Below are 18,388 nucleotides of genomic sequence, written 5' to 3' on the forward strand. Positions count from 1 at the left end.
GTGTTTTGTATTGAATTTCTGACGTTTATTTTAGCCCTTTTCTCAATTCATCCTCACACTTTGTCTTTATTGATTTTATTTTTTCCAGTGCCCAGAAGAGGGCAGAGCCTGGACATCCTAGAAAGTGGTCTTCATGACAGAGGATTCCTGCCAATGACTTGGATGTAGCTTTCCAAAGCTGTGTGAAGAAATACAGCTTTGGCGTGACTAATGAGGACAGATGTGGAATTTCTGCTCCTGAGAAATCTTTAAACACAAATAATATACTATTTTTTGTTCCGTACAAGCTAGAAATTTACCTAAGGACAAGAAGCTAGTCCTGGTAATATCCCGTGATCCTTTTTAGTTGTAGTTTCCTATGGCTTAGCAATTCATCGGAATATGAAAGTATTCAAGGCCAAGATGGTGGCTCACGCCGGTAATGCTAGCACGTTGAGGGGCCGGGACAGGTGGATCACTTAAGGCCAGGAGTTCAAGACCAGCCTGGGAAATATGGTGAAACCCCATCTCTACTAAAAATACAAAAATCAGCCGGGAATGGTAGTGCATGCCTGTAATCTCAGCTACTCAGGAGGCTGAGGCACAAGAATTGCTTGAATCCAGGAGGCAGAGGTTACAGTGAGCTGAGATCGCAGCACTGCACTCCGTCCTGGGTGACAGAGCAAGACTCTATTAAAAAAAAAAAAAAGTATTCAAGGGCGTTCATATTGTTAAAGTGATAACATCTCATTTTTCATAAAAGTTAGATATGATTTAAATCATTAATTTAAGACAGAGTTTTTCTAAATTTTAGACGAGCAATATTAACTAAACATACGCAACACTTATGATCATATAGAAATACAAACACAAGTCTGTTGGCTTTTAAAGAACAAAATGCAAGAACTCCAAATAGACTATGACCACACTTTTGTCTGCTTTTAACACTGCGTGAAGCTAAATGTCCTGCCACATTTTAGTGTATGTAATGTGTCAAAACCAAGCAGTATCTTACATTAAAACATTATTTGTCAACAATTCATGCTTTTATCACATAATTTTAAAATAAGTAGAACAATAAAAAATAATTAAATGGAGAACATCACTGTTTCCATGGGAAAAGTCAAAATGTGTCTCTATAGATTATACAAATCATCAGTGTTTGTGTTAAGATGGAAGGTATAGTACAATCTTCAATGACATACTGACCAAAAAACACCTCTTTAAAAAATTACTTCTTCATGACGTACCATGCAAAAATGATTATATAACTTTTAAAATTCCCTCAGGGGCTGGGCACGGTGGCTCACACCTGTAATCCCAACACTTTGGGAGACCGAGGTGGGCGGATCATGAGGTCAGGAGATTAAGACCATCCTGGCCAACGTGGTGAAACCCCATCTCTACTAAAAATACAAAAAAATAGCTGGGCGTGGTGGCAGGTGCCTGTAATCCCAGTTACTAAGGAGGCTGAGGCGGGAGACTCGCTTAAACCTGGGAGGTGGAGGCTACACTGAGGTGAGATCTTGCTACTGCACTCTAGCCTGGGCTACAGAGCAAGATCCTGTCTCAAAAAAAAAAAAAAAAAAAGAGGGAGAGGTGGGACCCCTTAGGGGCAGGTAACCAGAAACCAGCCCAAACAACTGCTCTCCTGTTCTGCCCATGGGATAGATGAGGAAATCATAGACGGCCTCTGCCCTAATAATAGCGCTTCACATTCTAGAAAATAGCGGTCATTTCCTAAGCCGCTGTCCTCTCCAGACAAAACAATCTTCTTTTGATGTTTTCTCTGAGGCCCTCTTGTCTAAACTTTGATGAAACGCAATTAGGAAACACGGAGAGGCATTATAATTTATCTGTCCATGGCTTCGTCTCAATGATAAATTTTTCTAGCCTTTGAATGTCATTATAAGTGTTGTTCATTATCAGAATTTCCAATTACAAAAAGGTTAATGCCAAAAGCAGAGCGGGTGGCAACAGGGAGGAAACTACACTGTTTGGAAAGGCTGTGTGTTCAAAGGAACGTTTCCCACTCGTTTTACCAAAATTGCCTCGGATTTCTTGGCCTCTCCTCATGACTTGGAGTGGTTCTGGAGCTGAGATGGGGTTTCCACAGTTTCCTTCCCGTCCTACCCCCCAGGGAGGGGAGGGAACATCTCATTGAACTTCCCTTCAGCTTGGACCTGCTCTTGGTATCACTAAGCTCTCAACTGAAATGTAAAATCTTTTTATTAACTTTGAAAACATATGTACTTAAATTTTAAAGATCCAAGTAATCCAAGTTGAAAGAAAAACAATCCTCCTACCAATGACTAAAATTAACCATATGTGCTACAGGGATGATCAGTCCAAAAACAGGCCCTGGTCATCCCGTTCTCGGTTTGTGATTAAATTTACAATTGAATGCCAGAACAGGTGAAACTGTGATCCTGTGTAGGATGTATCCATACTTGGAGAGTCTGTAGGTTTCAAACAGCTGATGACACACTTAGATTCAATTAAAATGTGTGCTGCAAGACAGATAGTAAAACCACACTAATTATAAATCCTGAAAAGCACTTTTCTTTGTTTTTACTATTTTAAGGTAAATAAGTTTCTCATGTCCTGTGGCTCCCCTCCTTGTTAATGTTGTAAATGACATGTGAATTTTTTGAGTTGTCTTTTTTGGTCTTCAAAGAATCTCCATACTTCATTTCACTCCCCATTGCAACAGTCCTGGGAAGTTGGCAAAGTGCTACAAAGAGCTCCACTGAGGACACGAAGAGCTGAAGCTCAGGGCGAGAGATCTGCCCAGACTCGGGCTCAGGGAATGCAGAACCCAGGTCTTTTCAGATGCATCTCTCTGGGCTGTTCCTGTCTTGTCTCAAATCCTCATATTGTCAGAGGTGTGTGAACCAGAGCAACTCCATCTTGAATAGGAGCTGGGTAAAATGAGGCTGAGCCCTACTGGGCGGCATTCCCAGATGGTTAAGGTATTCTAAGTCACAGGATGAGATAGGAGGTCAGCACAAGATACAGGTCATAAAGACCTTACTGATAAAAACAGATTGCAGTAAAGAAGCTAAAACCCACGTAACCAAGATGGCGACGAGAGGGACCGCTGGTCATCGTCCTCACTGCTACACTCCCATGCCATGACAGTTTACGAATGCCATGGCAGCATCAGGAAGTTCCCCGATATGGTCTAAAAGGGGAAGGCATGAATAATCCAACCCTTGTTTAGCATGTCATCCAGAAATAATCATAACAATTGGCAACTAGAAGCCCTTGGGTCTCCTTTGTCTATGGAGATAAAGGACAAAAAAAAGGGTTACCTACGCCTAAGGGGTCCCACCTCTCCCTGTCTTTTTTTTGTGTGTGTATCTTTTTTTGTCTTTTATTCCTTTACTTTCTTAATAAACTTGCTTTCACTTTACTGTATGGACTTGCCCTGAATTCTTTCTTGCGCCAGATCCAAGAACCCTCTCTTGGGGTCTGGATTGGGACCCCTTTCCTGTAACAATATGGCGATGAGTTACTTTTAAGCAAGTTATGACCTCAGAATCTGTTGAACTTGAAATAAAGTTCTGTCCCCTTGTTGTTATTTAAATGTCCCTCCCCAAACTCATGTTGAAATGTAATTGCCATTGTAAGAGTATTAGAGGTGAGGCCTTTAGCAGGCAATCAGGCCACAGGGCTGTGTCCTTCTGCATGGGCTAATGCCAGCATAAGAGGATACACTGGGCCACGTGCCTCTCTTTATCTCACCGTGCTCACTAGTCCTTCCACCATGTGCTGACGCAGCATGAAGGCCCTCACCAGATGTGGCCTCTGGATCTCAGACTTCCCAGCCTCCAGAACCATGAGCAAATAAACTAATTTTTTTCTATAGGTGACTCAGTCTGTGGTATTCTGTTTCAGCAGCAGAAAATGGAGCAAGACTCCCTCTTCTAGCAAGAGATATGCAACTCACTTATCCAGAAAACCATAACATGGGCATCACCCCTGCTCCCTAATCTTACCGTAACCTGGTGCTGCTCAGCCTTCCTATGTGGGTTTTTACCCCAACTGTGACTCTACTTTCTGATTAGTAGCTGCTTTTCTTTTTAAATTTTATGACAATGTATAAACATTTACTGAAAAGACAAGTTTAAGAGCATTAATAATTCTACAAATCTAGAAGTTTTTCTTACCGTTTTGCATTTTATTGTCTAATCTGTGCAGATGCATCAATATTTTATAGTCTCACCATGATGAGTTGGAGGAACAACCGTCAACGCTGCCTGTATTCATTTCCCAGGTTACCATAAAAAATCACCACACACTGGGTGGCCGAGAATGACAGAAATGTATTCCCTTCCAGTTTTGGAGGCTGCCAGTCTGAAGTCAAGGTGTCAGCAGGCCCATCTCCTTCTGAAGGTTCCGGGGAGGATCCTTCTGGGTCTGGTGGCCCCAGAAATCCTCGGTGTTCACGTTCCCTGGCTGTGAACTTGTCATCATGCTCTCTGCTGCTGGCGTCACGTGCTGTCCTCCCTGTATGTCCCTGGGTCAGGGCCTCCTACTGTAGGACAGCCTCATCTTAACTCGATTTCGTTTGCAGACACTCTATTTCCAAATATGGTCACATTCACAGGGTCAGGGGTTAAGACTTAAATGTGTCTTTTGGGGGGACCCCACTCACCCCACAATAGTGTCCTGTAGTCGCCTCAGTGTGGAGGTGATGAGCGGGCAGCCATTTGTCAGAAGCTAACAGGAGGCTCCCGAAAGATCCATCAGACTTTCCTAAAGCAGAGAGCAAATCCAAAGGAAGCCCACCCCAGTCACCACCCACCCCGGTCACCGCCTGCCCCATGTATCATCACACGGCTTGACTTGCTGGTGGCAACCGTCCTTACACCAAGAGAGGAAGTGTTGTGTGTTCTCAGCTCATTTATTATAGGAAACCAGGCAAACCAGGCAAAGCAAATTGCCAAGGGCCAAAGGGCATGGTGAGAGCCTAAGGACGCCAGAAAAAAAATGTAACTGATTGAAATATAATTGGGTGATGGATTTACAGCTGCGTTTTCCTTAAGGGTTGCCTTCTGAGTAGTGTGAGAGACGCCAAGTTCCCCACTTCACAACGGACTCCGCTTTTGTGAATCTAAAGGAGAAGCTGAGAAGCCCCAGTTCACTCCTGATGTGATTTGGCTGTATCCCCACCCAAAATCTCGTCTTGTAGTCCCCATAATCCACATGGGTCAAGGGAGAGTCCAGGTGCAGGTAATTGAATCATAGGGGCGGTTTCCCCCAAGCTGTTCTCATGATAGTGAGCGAGTTCTCACGAGATCTGACGGTTTTTAAGTGTTTGGTTGTTTCTCCTGCGTTCATTTTCCTTACTGCTGCCTTGTGAAGAAGGTGCCTTGCTTCCCCTTCAACCATGGTGTAAGTTTCCTGAGACCTCCCCAGCCATGGTGAACTGTGAGTCAGTTAAACCTCTTTCCTTTATAAATTACCCGGTCTTCGGCAGTTCCTTATAGCAGTGTGAAAACGGACTAATACAGCTCCCAAGCAACCAACTTGTGACTTTCCTTCTATCACAAATGACCCCACCTGACCAGGGTGTAAACGGCTTGGGAGGAACAGCATTTCTTCCTGGGGCGAAAAGGAAGGGAGTGCTGAGAGCAGGGTCGCAGGTCCCCACACCAGGTCTGAATCCCTGCTGGCTGCATCTGCAGGCTGGAGGGGAAGTGGGCCCTGGGTGCAGGACCCCTGCAGGAGGCCATCACAGGGTCCCTCCTGGGGCTCCAGGCAGGAGGAGCCACAGGCTCTCAAGGTCGCTGGGACCCCGTACCTGTGGACCTGAGCCTCTCACAGCACGTGTGTCCCCCACTGGTCTCTGTTTTCCCTAATGAGGTTGCTCCTGGTCCTGTCTTAGGATCTTTGACCCTGAGTGTCACTGTCTGGAACTCTTTCCCATGAGAACTGCTCAGGGCTGTCTTCATCTCCTCCTGCTTCAGGTCTCAGCTTCAACGTTCTCCCTCATGAGCCCCCAACCACTCTGTCTAAAGGCCCTCCCTTCCTCACTCCCCAGCCTTGTCTGCTTCCTTTCCTGGATGTCTTTCCTTCCTGGGAAGTCTACACAGCTTCCCTGTTGGTTTCTTGCCTAATAAAAGCAGAGCCTCGTGGGATTCCCCACAGTGTCCCCAGAGCCTGGAAAGGTGCCTGAATGCAGGAGGGCTCAGGGCACGCAGAGATGGCCTCAGACAGGAGCCGGCAGAACAGCCCACACAGCAAGGACTTCTGCTCCATCATCCCAGCTGCCATGTCACACTCAGCTCCCAGCCTGTGCTGCCTCGGGTCTGCTCTCCCGGGATACAGTGTCCCATTGCCAGCCCCCGCCCCACACTGCTGCCCCTACGCCCATCCTGCAGGTGTTCTTTGAATGGACCCTCCAGCATCATTTGCCCAATCCTGATCACTGTCCCGCTCCACCTGGGGCCATATCTTCCCCACTCTGCCTCCTGGCCCCTGTACAACTGGCTCCCCAGGCTCCAGTGGGGCATGGAACCCCAACTAGCAAAGGAGACAATTCCTTTCCCATGCAGGCCAAGCCAGTTACAGCCCCGGAAGCTCAGTCCCAGGACTCTGCTAAGAGCTACCCCGAGCAGGTGACAGTCCTCATGACAACAGCAACAGTGATAGCTGGTGTATACTAAGTGTTTTTGGGTCCCACCCACTGTCCTGAGCCACTCACGGATATTAGCTCCCTTATTTCTCTAAACGGCCCCATAAAGCAGGCTGCCTCGTCTCTGGGTGTGGCGGTGGAGATTGCAGGGGTTGCTCTGAAACAAGCGTTTGACTCTTGTGCCCGAGAGCTCTGTGACCGGAACTGGGAACCCTATACTTTTGTCTTCTTGGACAGCTCATTTCTGTGTTCAATGCAACAAAATGTGGGATTTTTTTCCCCCATAAATAGTTCAAAGAAGCAATTGTCCTGATGTGGTAATGTGACTTTCGACATAATGGAGATATTTTCCACCCTTATTTTTATAATTAGTGTCCAAATTGCTCAAAGATAAAGCAAATTTTGCATTTATGAAGTTTAAAAGCAAAGGGTTTCTAACCTGACATCTAAACTTTTCACAATTCCCATCTTCACCTACCCATCAACATCCATTTAACAATGTCAACATCATACTCCCACAGTGCCATACGTAATTTTCCGAACACGGGAGATTTTTAAAAAGAGTTGTTGGCTGGGCGCAGTGGCTCACACCTGTAATCCCAGCACTTTGGGAGGTTGAGGAAGGTGGATCACCTGAGGTCAAGAGTTCAAGACCAGCCTGACCAACGTGGAGAAACCCCATCTTTACTGAAAAAAAAAAAAAAACAAAATTAGCCGGGCGTGGTGGCACAGCTACTCGGGAAGCTGAGGCAGGAGAATTGCTTGAATCTGGGAGGCAGAGGTTGCAGTGAGCCAAGATCGTGCCATTGCACTCCAGCCTGGGCAACAAGAGCAAGACTCCGACTCAAAAAAAAAAAAAAAAAGAGTTGTCAGTGTAGTAGCATAATTTTTATAACTGTGGGTAGGGATTAGAAATCTGGAGAAAGAAGTGAAAGAGAATGAAGCAAGCTGCCATTTAAGGTTTCATATCTCAAGAAGACATTAAGCAAGATTGTTTTTCAATTTAACAGCAGAAGTTGCTGTCCAAATTTGTCAAAAAAGAAAAACAAATCCTAAATTGTCGGCCAGGCACAGTGGCTCACGCCTGTAATCCCAGCACTTTGGGAGGCTGAGGCAGGCGGATCATGAGGTCAGGAAATCGAGCCCATCCTGGCTAACACGGTGAAACCCCATCTCTACTAAAAATACAAAAAAATTAGCCAGGCGTGGTGGCGGGCGCCTGTAGTCCCAGCTATTTGGGAGGCTGAGGCAGGACAATGGCGTAAACCTGGGAGGCGGAGCTTGCAGTGAGCCGAGATCGGGCCACTGCACTCCAGCCTGGGTGACAGAGCGAGACTCCATCTCAATAAATAAATGAATAAATAAATAAATAAATAAGAACAAACCATTTTAAAAAGAACATTTTTGACCTCCTAAAAGAAATCCTGTACACATTAGCAGCCATGCTGCAGTCCCTAACCCACTCCCATCCCCACCACTCCACTTTCTGCCGCTATGGATTTGCCTGTTCTGTGCCTTCTGGGTGAATGGGCTCATGCAGCATGTGGTGGCTTGTGACTGGCTCCTGTCATGTGGCTCAGTATTTCAGAGTTCATCCATGTTGCAGCATGTCAGTACCTCATTCCTTTTTATTGCTGGGTAATATTCCATTTCACAAATATACCACAATTATGTTTATCTCTTCATCAGTTGACTGTTGGGTTGTTTCTACATTTTGGCTATTTTGATTAATCCTGTTATGAACATTCACGTGCAGGTTTTTGTGGAAACGTGTTTTCATTTTTCTTGCATATATACCTAGCAGTAAAGATTTATATTTACTGAGAAAAATCTTCATCTAATCAGCCATGCAAACTTGCATATTAGCAGTAAGTGACATTTCATTTTTCATATAATTCTTGATTCTTTATAAAAGGAGAAAAATAAATTGGCACTTGAGTTTTTTGTGTGTTTGCTTTTGAGTCAGAGTCTCGCAGCGACACCCAGGCTGGAGTGCAGTGACACCATCTCGGCTCACTGCAAGCTCCGCTTCCTGGGCTCAAGCGATTCTCCTGCCTCAGCCTCCAAGTAGCTGGCATTACAGGTGTCTGCCACCATGCCTGGCTAATTTTTTTTTTTTTTTAAGTAGAAACAGGGTTTCACCATGTTGACCAGGCTGTTGTCAAACTCCTGACCTCAAGTGATCTGCCTGTCTCAGCCTCCCAAAGTGCCGGGATTATAGGCGTGAGGCACCGTGCCCAGCAAGTATTGAATAAAGATCTCAGTTCATGTGTTTTCCTTTATTATAAACAGCACAAATGGGTCCTTCCTCGCTCTGAGCAAATGTATGCATTTATAGCAGTGCCACAGAGAGACTTATATTTTATCTGACATAGTCAAGAGTGTCCTAAGAATACGTTTATCAGGTAGTTGAAGTCTTCATCTTTTAAAATATTTACCATTTTTTCATTAAAATAACAAATAGACATTTGTCTTCGAGAGGCACATTACCTCTAGTGATTTCTAACGATTTGCTACAATTGCTAATGTCTATTACCATGTGATTTCCACACACGATCACAGGAACTACTGAAGACTTGCTTTAGGATCTGCCCAAATTAGCAATGTCTCCTCTGTCTACATCAGACCTTATTTGGATTCTTCTCATTTTGGTGTCTATTCCAAGACTCCCAGGACTGGGACCTGCCAAGAGGTGTCACATGTCTCCCGTCCCCGCCAGAACTGGTTTATGACCAATACTGCTTTCAGTTCACTGCGTGGGGCTACAGCTCCTCAATTGTCCAAAAGGTCCTCGGTTCCAGAGTTGGCCCTGTGCCATGGAGCGAGGCGACCAATGGCAGATAGACTGGCCACAAAACCAAGTTCCTTTTCAGTTACTTTTTCCCAAAGCAGAAAAGTTCCTTTTGTCTCATTTGGGGAAAAAAAGGGGGCAGCTTCTCCGCAGTGTGCCTGGGGAGACATCCCTCGAGACACTTTGGGTTGTAAGGGGTACCCCAATCAGGCCAGCTAACAGAGGGAAGGGGATTTTTTTTGGCTACGTCAATAAATGCAGCAATAACATGGGTGCCGGGTACAAACTGAAGGCAGCTCTGAGGGTGATTCTGGGAGCCCAGTGGCTCTGTTCCCACCAGTGCCTGCCGTCCTCAGGCTGGCTTCCACGGTGTTGCCTGCTCCTCATCCTCAGCCCAGGACAGGGAACGTTCCTTCCCGCAGTGGCTGGGCTCTGGCTGGCTGAACCACATCAAGTCTCAGAAGCCAGGAGAATGCTGGAGAAGGTGGGAAGGGAGTGGAAGGGGGTAAGAATGAGTGCGCTGGGTTCAATAACATCCACCCCAGTTCATGGCCACCTCACTAACATCTGAGACTGTGACCTTATTTGGAATAGGGTCTTTGCAGACATAATCAAGTTAAGAGGAGGTCATACTGGATTACAGTGGGCCCTGAATCTGACGGCTGGTGGCCTTAAAAGAAGAGGGAAACGTGGAGATGAGAGAATACCATGGGGAGAGTGGAGTGATACATCCACCAACTGAGGAGTGCTGAGGGTTGTGGGAGCCACCAGGAGCTGGAGGAAACAGGGAAGGACCCTCCCCTAAAGATTTCAGAGGGAGCACAGCCTTCCCACACGTTGATGTCAGACTTCTGGCCTCTAGAACTGTGGGAGAATCAAATCCTGTTGCTTTCAGCCCCGTAGTTTGTGTAACTTGTTCTGGTAGTCCCATGACACTCGCAAGTGGAGAAGCAGCCACAGGGGCTCCCAGCAGGCAGTGACAGCCGAGGGCTGCAAGCTCGCTACCTCTCAGTGCTCAGGCGCCCTCCACCGCCTTCCAGGGAAGGCACAGCTCTGCTAGAATGCTACCCCCAGCAATAAATGTCCTTAACCTATTGTCACAATGGTTCTAATAACAAAGAAAATTTATTCCACCATGGGGCCTGAAATTTCATCTTGGAGCCCCCATTCCCAGTACTTGACATTGTTTATCCTCTGTGAATGGCTGAGGCCACAGAGCTGATATTTTCCTCCTTGCAGAAATAAAACCTGGTGCTCTGTAGTCAGGGAGGGACTCGGAGCCCTCTCCACCTGCCTGGCTGGGGCAGCACCCTCAGTTCCTCCCCCAGATACTCTTTCTAATACACTGTGAGCTGAAAATTCATGTAACCAAGCTTGTGTGAATTGTCTTTGGGTGTAAGTAGGTTGGAAGTGACAGCCTGAGGGCTCTATTATCAGCAACAGGCGTTAAGATTTAGTACCTGAACTTTCTAATATTTAAATGGACTCTTCAGAGGTCTTTAGAATTTGCTTCCTGATTCTGGGTCCTGTTGCCCCTGGTGCAGAGAGCTGTCCCTGCACCTGCCTGGGCTGATTCCTGACTCCAGCCCCAGCTGCAGAGGCTGTGAAGTGCTGAAGCTCAGCCCTTCCTCTGTTACGGAAACACCAGGGGTTCAGTTTAAGTCCTGCTGTTCACTGCAAAGAAAGCCAGTGACTGAGACAATGAGGCTTGCCAAGGAAGAAGGTTTTCATCGGGCGGCGGCTGCAGTGGATGAGACGGGAGATCAGTCTCAAAGCCATCTTGCTGGCCGACTAAAGTTAGGGGTTTGTATCGCAAGGAAGAAATGTAACAATGTATGGGAAAACAGGAACTCGGGAGGGGTAAGGAAGCAGGCATGATGCATGAGGGGCCTGGCTTCTCACTGTGTGGATGCAGTGATCTGGTGAGTTTCAATTCTTTGATACTTTTTCAGAGGCCTCGGGGAGTCCTTTCCCAGGAAGGAACTTAGATAAAACAAATGTAAGTTTCAAGCTTTAAGACAAAAAGGGTCAATTTCTATGTGTATCCCCGCCCCCCCGAAAAAACAACAACTGTCTATGGGACTGCTGGGTAAGCTTCAAGCTTTAAGACAAAAAGGGTCAATTTCTGTGTTTATCCCAAAAAACTGTCTATGGGACTGCTGGGTTGGTTTCACCTCTCACACCCCAGCTGCTCTGGGGCCATGGAGCTCACAGCCTTCCCCTCCACTCTTCCCTCCCGCTAGGGAGCTAAGCCTGGGTGAGACCTTGCACACCTTTCCCAAGGGTCTCCCTGGCATTCTGCAGGTTCCTTTGGGTCGGTGGTTTTCAATCAGCATAAATTTCTGGAATCCCGTATTGAGATGAAGCCGGAGGACCTGGTCTTCAAAGGTCCTTAAGGGTCTGGCTCACAGAGTCACAGAGGCGGGGGCAGCCCAGGCTCTGCACCTGCCCAGTGCAGGAGGCAGATTCTGGGGCTCAGCCCACATGTTGAGAATACACCTGAGGTGGCAGTGCCTACCTTCTGCTGCTTGGCCTCTGAAAGAGGTCATGTTACTCCCAAGTGATTTTTATTGATCCTGGGTCTTGTCTTGGCCTCCCCCCCACTTTCCCCCATTTCCTCTCCTTGAGCAGGCATCTATTTTTTTATGTTTTTGAGCTGGAGTCTCGCTCTGTCACCCAGGCTGGAGTGCAGTGGCACAGTCTCGGCTCACTGCAAGTTCCGCCTCCCGGGTTCACGCCATTCTCCTGCCTCAGCCTCCCGAGTAGCTGGGACTACAGGCGCCCGCCACCACGCCCGGCTTTTTGTATTTTTTAGTAGAGATGGGGTTTCACCGTGTTAGCCAGGCTGGTCTTGATCTCCTGACCTCGTGATCCTCCCACCTCAGCCTCCCAAAGTGCTGGGATTACAGGCGTGAGCCACCACGCCTGGCCTTTTTTGTATTTTTAATAGAGACGGGGGTTCACCGTGTTAGCCAGGATGGTCTCGATCTCCTGACCTCGTGATCCACCTGCCTCAGCCTCCCAAAGTGCTGAGATTACAGGCGTGAGCCACTGCGTCCGGCTGAGCAGCCCTCTAAGTCTCCACCTGCTGTGACAGGTTAGCAATGAGGCCCGGCTTCAAGTTCTTCAAAGGAGGGTCTACAGCCCAAGTCAATAGGGAGTAACTTTGCTGCTTTTATTTTTTTTAATGTGGTAAAACACATAACGTAAAATTTATCCTTTAACCGTTTTTGTTTTGTTTTGTTTTGTTTTTTGAGACAGGGTCTCCTGCCACCCAGGCTGGAGTGCAGCGTCGTGAACATAGGTAACTGCACCCTAGACCTCCCGGGCTCATGTGACCCTTCCCCATCAGCCGCCCGGGTAGCTAGGACTATAGGTGTGCACCACCATGCCCCACTATTTTTTTTTCTGTAGAGATGGGGGTCTCACAATCTTGCCCAGGCTAGTCTTGAACCCCTGGACTCACGCAATTCTCCCAGCCTCCCAAAGTGCTGGGATTACGAGTGTGAACCACCGTGCCCGGCCATTTCATCATTTTTAAGTGTGCAGTTCTGTGGCACTACACACGTTCACACTGCTGTGCAGCCATCACCACTCTCCAGCTCCAGAACTTTTCCATCTTCCCAGACTTAAACCCTGTCCCCACGAAACACAGAGGCCTCACTCCTCCTCCCCCAGCCCCTGGCGCCCCTTCCACTTTCCATCTCCTTGGCCCTGACTCCTCCGTGTTCCTCACCTGTGTGGCTCAGCAGCACGTGTCCCTCTGAGACTGGCTCACTGCACTTAACACAGTGTCCTCCAGTGCATCCGTGTCATAGCATGGAGCAAAATTTCCTTCCTTTCAAGGCTGAATTTGATGCCATCGTTCAGGTTTTTTTTACACAGCAAAGTGTGCAAACCACTGAGGACAGGGCTACTGCTGCCGGCCATGACCCTGAAGCCGTCTGTGTCCCAGCCCTGCACAGAGCTGGCCTCAACTGCTGCTCCCATTCCCTACTTCTCCTTCTCCCTACCTGGGAGCAGCTGCCAGGCTACCGCACAGGGTATGGAGAGGGAAGAAGCACCTGGGTGCCTTTTTTTTTTTTTTTTTTTTGAGACAGTCTCACTCTGTCACCCAGGCTGGAATGTGGAGTGCAGTGGCGTGATCTCAGCTCACTGCAACCACCGCCTCCCAGATTCAAGCAATTCTTATGCCTCAGCCACTCTAATAGCTGGGATTACAGGCACACACCACCATACCCAGCTAACTTTTGTATTTTTAGTAGAGATGGGGTTTTGCTCTGTTGCGCAGGCTGGTCTTGAACTCCTGACCTCAAGTGATCCGCCTGCCTCAGCCTCCCAAAGTATTGGGATTACAGGCTTGAGCCACTGCACCCAGCTCCAGCCCATTTTTTTGAGACAGGATCTCCTTCTGTCGCCCAGGCTGGAGTGCCCTGTCTAGATCTTGGCTCACTGCAGCCTCAACCTCCTAGGCTCAAGCGATCCTCCCACCTCAGCCTCCCAAGTAGCTAGGACTACAGGCGGGCACCAGCACTCCCGACTAATTTTTCTTTTTCTATTTTTAGTAGAGATGGGGTTTCATCATGTTTCCCAGGCTGGTCTTGAACTCCTGGACTCAAGCGATCTGCCTGTCTTGGCCTCCCAAAGTGCTGGGATTACAGGCCTGAGCCACCGCACCCGGCCTCGTTTTTAATTCTCACAATTCTCAAGGATAGTCGCGAGAGGCCTCAGTGTTTCCGTTTGACCAAGGAGACATACTGAGAAAAATCCAGTGGCTTTTCACATAGATCACGGTGCAGGTCCTTTGCCCTGGCACCTTAATCAGGAAAAGGAGCCCCTAGTGAGCCCTGGTTTCCTCATTTATAACGTTGGAAAAATAACAGTATCTACTGCATAGCATTGATTTGAGAGCTAAAACCAGATAATTTATGTATGGTGCTTAAACACAGTGTCTACAATTAGCAAGGGCTCAGTAAGAAGGAGCCAATATTAATATTATTAACATCATAATTTAAGAGGAAAAAATTCAAAGTGTGGTCCATGCCTATATTTCAGTTTTATGCAGCTATTTAAAATGGTGTTTACATTTTGTGTTTACAAAATTGTTTAATGCATGAGGAAATTTTTATGTTGTTAAATTTTTTCAAGTTTCCGAAATCATATATACTGTATGATTTCAATTATGCTTTAAAAAAAACCAGTAATAAAAACACAGGAGGAAATATGACAAAATATCAACAGTGGGCATATCTGGGTAATGAGATTGTGCGTAACTATTTTTCTACTTCTCTCTCCTTCAATCTACTTCCCAAGGAGCAGATAACTGTCTCTATAATTATAAATACAATAAATCAAAATGTAAGTAAAGTCGAATATGCACTAATCGAGCTTTGTTTTCCCATATGGTAGTGGTCCCCATCCCGGGCTGCACGTGAGGATCCCCCAGGAGCTTGTTCTCACCCAGGTTGCGGCTGCCCCCTGACCAGTGTCATCACCGGCAGGTGCCATCGACAGTCTGATGAGAAACAGCTGACAATTTTGATTCAGAATCTGAAAGTGGCTCACTGGTGTTATCAATACACACAGGATCGCTTTCATTTTAAAGTCACAAACAGAGAGTCAGTGCAGCTACAGGATTAGAGCTGACTGGCTGAGTGCTTTGTCATCTGAATTATCAGGACCTGGAGAGCAGGGGAGGCTCCCAGTGGGTGTGGATCTCAGCGCTGGCTGCCCTTTCTCCCCATTTTCACCTGTTTCGCCATTGCTCTCAGTTGCCACCCTGGCTCTAAGAAGCGGGGTCGAGAAAGAGCCACTGAGGAAACTGAAGAGGCCACGAGTCGATTCTGTGCCCAGCTCAGACTGTGGCTGATGCGCAGAGGCACGTGGGCTCTTGGAGGGTGGGGATGAGCTGGGCAGCCCCACGGCTCCTCCTGGCAGGGCCCCCATGCTGCGCGTCTGTGGGCTCTTGGAGGGTGGGGATGAGCTGGGCAGCCGCACGGCTCCTCCTGGCAGATCCCCCATGCTGCGCGTCTGTGGGTTCCACGGCAGCCAGTTCCAGGCACAGGGCATTCTTGGTGCACTTGTCAGGTGATTGACTCCGTGCAGCGATCTCCACGGGTCCTTTTGAGGATGATGCCGAGAATCTCTGTTTTACTCCTGGGAACACAGCAGCTGCCAAGGTTGGACATCACTCTTCCTAACACCTGGGAGATAGATAAGGAGTGCTTTAAATGAAGCTTCAAATGTTTCTAGTGGTTCAAGAGGGGCCCTGAATGTGTGGATCCTCCAAGCTCCCCTTCTCTCTGCACTTGGCTGTGTTGTCATTCACAGCCCAGCAACTCACCTTACAGAGGTTAGGAGGGAGAGGAGGCTACACATCTGCGTATTAATTCATAGAAAGCCTTGACCCCATCAGTGCCAAGTCCCAGCATGTTGTTGAACCACTTACATCAAGACAAGGCATTTGTGCTGCATCAACTCAGCAGTGATTGGCAGAGTCCTGTATTCATCATTCCTCCCGGTGTCGTCCTTTTAAAAATAATCTACAGGTGAGCAAATCATGAAAGTGTGCCAAACTGGTAGGCTTTTCTTTTTCTTTTTTATTATTTATTTATTTATTTATTTATTTTGAGATGGAGTATCGCTCTGTCGCCCAGGCTGGAGTGCAGTGGCACAATCTTGGCTCACTGCAACCTCTGCCTCCCGGGTTCAAGCAGTTCTTCTGCCTCAGCCTCCCGAGTAGCTGGGACTACAGGTGCCCACCACCATGCCCAGCTAATTTTTTTCGTGTGTGTGTATTTTTAGTAGAGACGGGATTTCACTGTGCTAGTCAGGATGGTCTCAATCTCCTGACCTCATGATCCGCCTGCCTCGGCCTCCCAAAGTGCTGGGATTACAGGCGTGAGCCACCGCACCCGGCCAGCTTTTCTTTTTCTATGAGTTTGTGGTTTTCTGCCAGGACATCCCATCAGTTTGGAATAAATGAACACATCCCTTAGCCCTGCATTTACAGACCCCACCCCCATCACTCAAGTCCCCATATCCCCTCTCCAGATCTGTATCCACAAAGCACCACGCTGAGATCGCCTGACTGCGCTGCCTTTGACCTTCCAGGCATCAGCGTTCCCAGGAAGGGAGTGGCTCCAGGCCCCTGTGGGAGAGTTGCAAAAGGTGGCGCACACTTGGTTTTCCAGGGTTAGACCCCCTGTATGAGTCTGAGAGCCCGACAAGCCCAACTATGGCTTTGAAATTCATCATGGGGTCATTTTCTGTATTTAAAATAAAACTGGAGAAAATGAGATTTCAATCCCATTTTGAAAATGTTTGTGCCGAGACAGCAAACAGCAAAATGGAGCTTTCTTGCCAGCGAAGAAGAGCACACCTGCATCACCTTTAAGGAGAAACGGGCACAGCCGTGCCCTTGCTCTCTGGGAGTCCCCATGCAGACTGGTGGAGGTGCTTGGAGCACCTGTCAGAGGGCTGGTGTCCAAGAGCCAGGGGGGTCCCTACCCAGCTCCACTCACCCCCACCACCCGCAACAGACAAACTGCGTGAGGCTTGGTTTCTCTGCCTGTGAATGGGGACCACTCCAGGGACACAGTCCTCATCCACACTGCCCGCCGGCACCCAGGCTCAAGGTGCTGGGGAATGTGTGGCCCTTCCTTCCCTCTGCCCCCGCAGGTGTGGCCACCAGTGCTGCACAGGCCTCTCAGCCATCCCGCTGTTGTCCTTTTGCTTTTAGTTTTGGAATCTGGTCCTTGGGGTTGCTGGGTTTTGTTTTGCTTTTGGGATGTCAAGCAAGCATTGGCTATGATCTCCAGAGTTCAGATGGTCCCCTAAGATGGATGCAATCCCTAAAAATAAGGTGATGATCCCTACACATATTTATGACCATTTTAAGGACTCACACGTGGTTCTCTGGGCAGACTCTGTGCTGCACCCTGGCCTGTCAGAAGTGCCTTTTCAGCAGGCGACTATCATCCTGCATGTCCTGCCCCTCGACCGGTCACCCAGCAATGCTCTGTTGTCAAAAAAAAAAGACGAAGATTAATCAAAGTGTTGCCTTCTTCCTACTTTTCTTTTTTCTTTTTCTTTCTTTCTTTCATTTATTTTTTTTTTTGAGAGAGGGTGTTGCTCTGCACCCAGGCTGGAGCCTCGAGTGATCTTCCCACCTCAGCCTTCCAGTAGCTGGGACCACAGGCGCACACCGCCGCAGCCGGTTAATTGTATTTTTTTGTAGAGACAGGGTCTTGCTCTATTACCAAGGCTGGTCTCAAACGCCTGGCCTCAGGCGATCCTCCTGCCCCAGCCTCCCAAAGTGCTGGGATTCCACGCGTGAGCCACTGCACCCGGCCCTTCCTACTTTTCCACGGCTGGCCCCAGGGGTGAGCACGCTGTTGCTCTGTGTACCTTTAAAGACTGTTTTCCAAAAAGTGGCTGCCATCTCCTGGGAGCCCGTGAAATTGCACGATCTGGAGTCAGCCAAGCCTTTAGTAACCGATTGTTTTGTTTCTTCCTCTTCAAAATGTGCAGGTTATTCCAGGGCCATGTATCAATTTTGTAGGTCAGAGTGACCCAGATCCAATCCTTACAGCACCAAGGCAACAATATCAGGGCCCTGGGTCCCTCCCTTGGCCTACAAATAAGAGTAATAAAGGAATTGACGTCAACAGATCTTTGTCATGATAAGTTACTGTGTTACAGGGATGCAAATTTCACAGCTACAGATCCTGTCAAAGTTGCTTCTAAGCCCAAGCTCTGGGTGTTGCAACTATGGTTTCATTATCCTAAAAAAAAAAAAAAAAAAGGAAATACTTAAAGATACTTTTAAAACTTGGTTTAGGTCGAATGCCTTAAAAAACAGCTTTCCTTTCAGGCCCCAAAGCTTGAGATTCTAAGCTGGAGAGTCAGCAAAGAGTGCCCAGAGACTTGGTTCTCCCGGAACCTCCGCCCCCTCTCCCACCCAGTGAGGGCCA

The 18,388-nt window shown here is 47.7% G+C and overlaps 1 long non-coding RNA gene across 1 annotated transcript, besides 1 other annotated feature; it reads right to left on the reverse strand.

The window, feature by feature from the left end:
* Positions 1-14,499: 14,499 nt before the first annotated feature.
* Positions 14,500-18,377, reverse strand: LOC105372212 (uncharacterized). The gene is made up of 3 exons (XR_935657.4): positions 17,823-18,377; positions 17,321-17,433; positions 14,500-15,616 (listed from the first exon to the last, which is right to left on the reverse strand). It is a non-coding gene; the product is annotated as an uncharacterized LOC105372212 (long non-coding RNA).
* Positions 17,422-18,378: an enhancer, noted in NCBI's record as "H3K27ac-H3K4me1 hESC enhancer chr18:74398425-74399381 (GRCh37/hg19 assembly coordinates)". NCBI's record gives its function as "activates a minimal SCP1, AML or CMV promoter by ChIP-STARR-seq in primed H9 embryonic stem cells {active_cell/tissue: H9 hESC(primed)}" and the evidence as "EXISTENCE:reporter gene assay evidence [ECO:0000049][PMID:30033119]".

The sequence above is a fragment of the Homo sapiens genome, chromosome 18, assembly GCF_000001405.40.
Source record: "Homo sapiens chromosome 18, GRCh38.p14 Primary Assembly".
Lineage (NCBI taxonomy): Eukaryota > Metazoa > Chordata > Mammalia > Primates > Hominidae > Homo > Homo sapiens.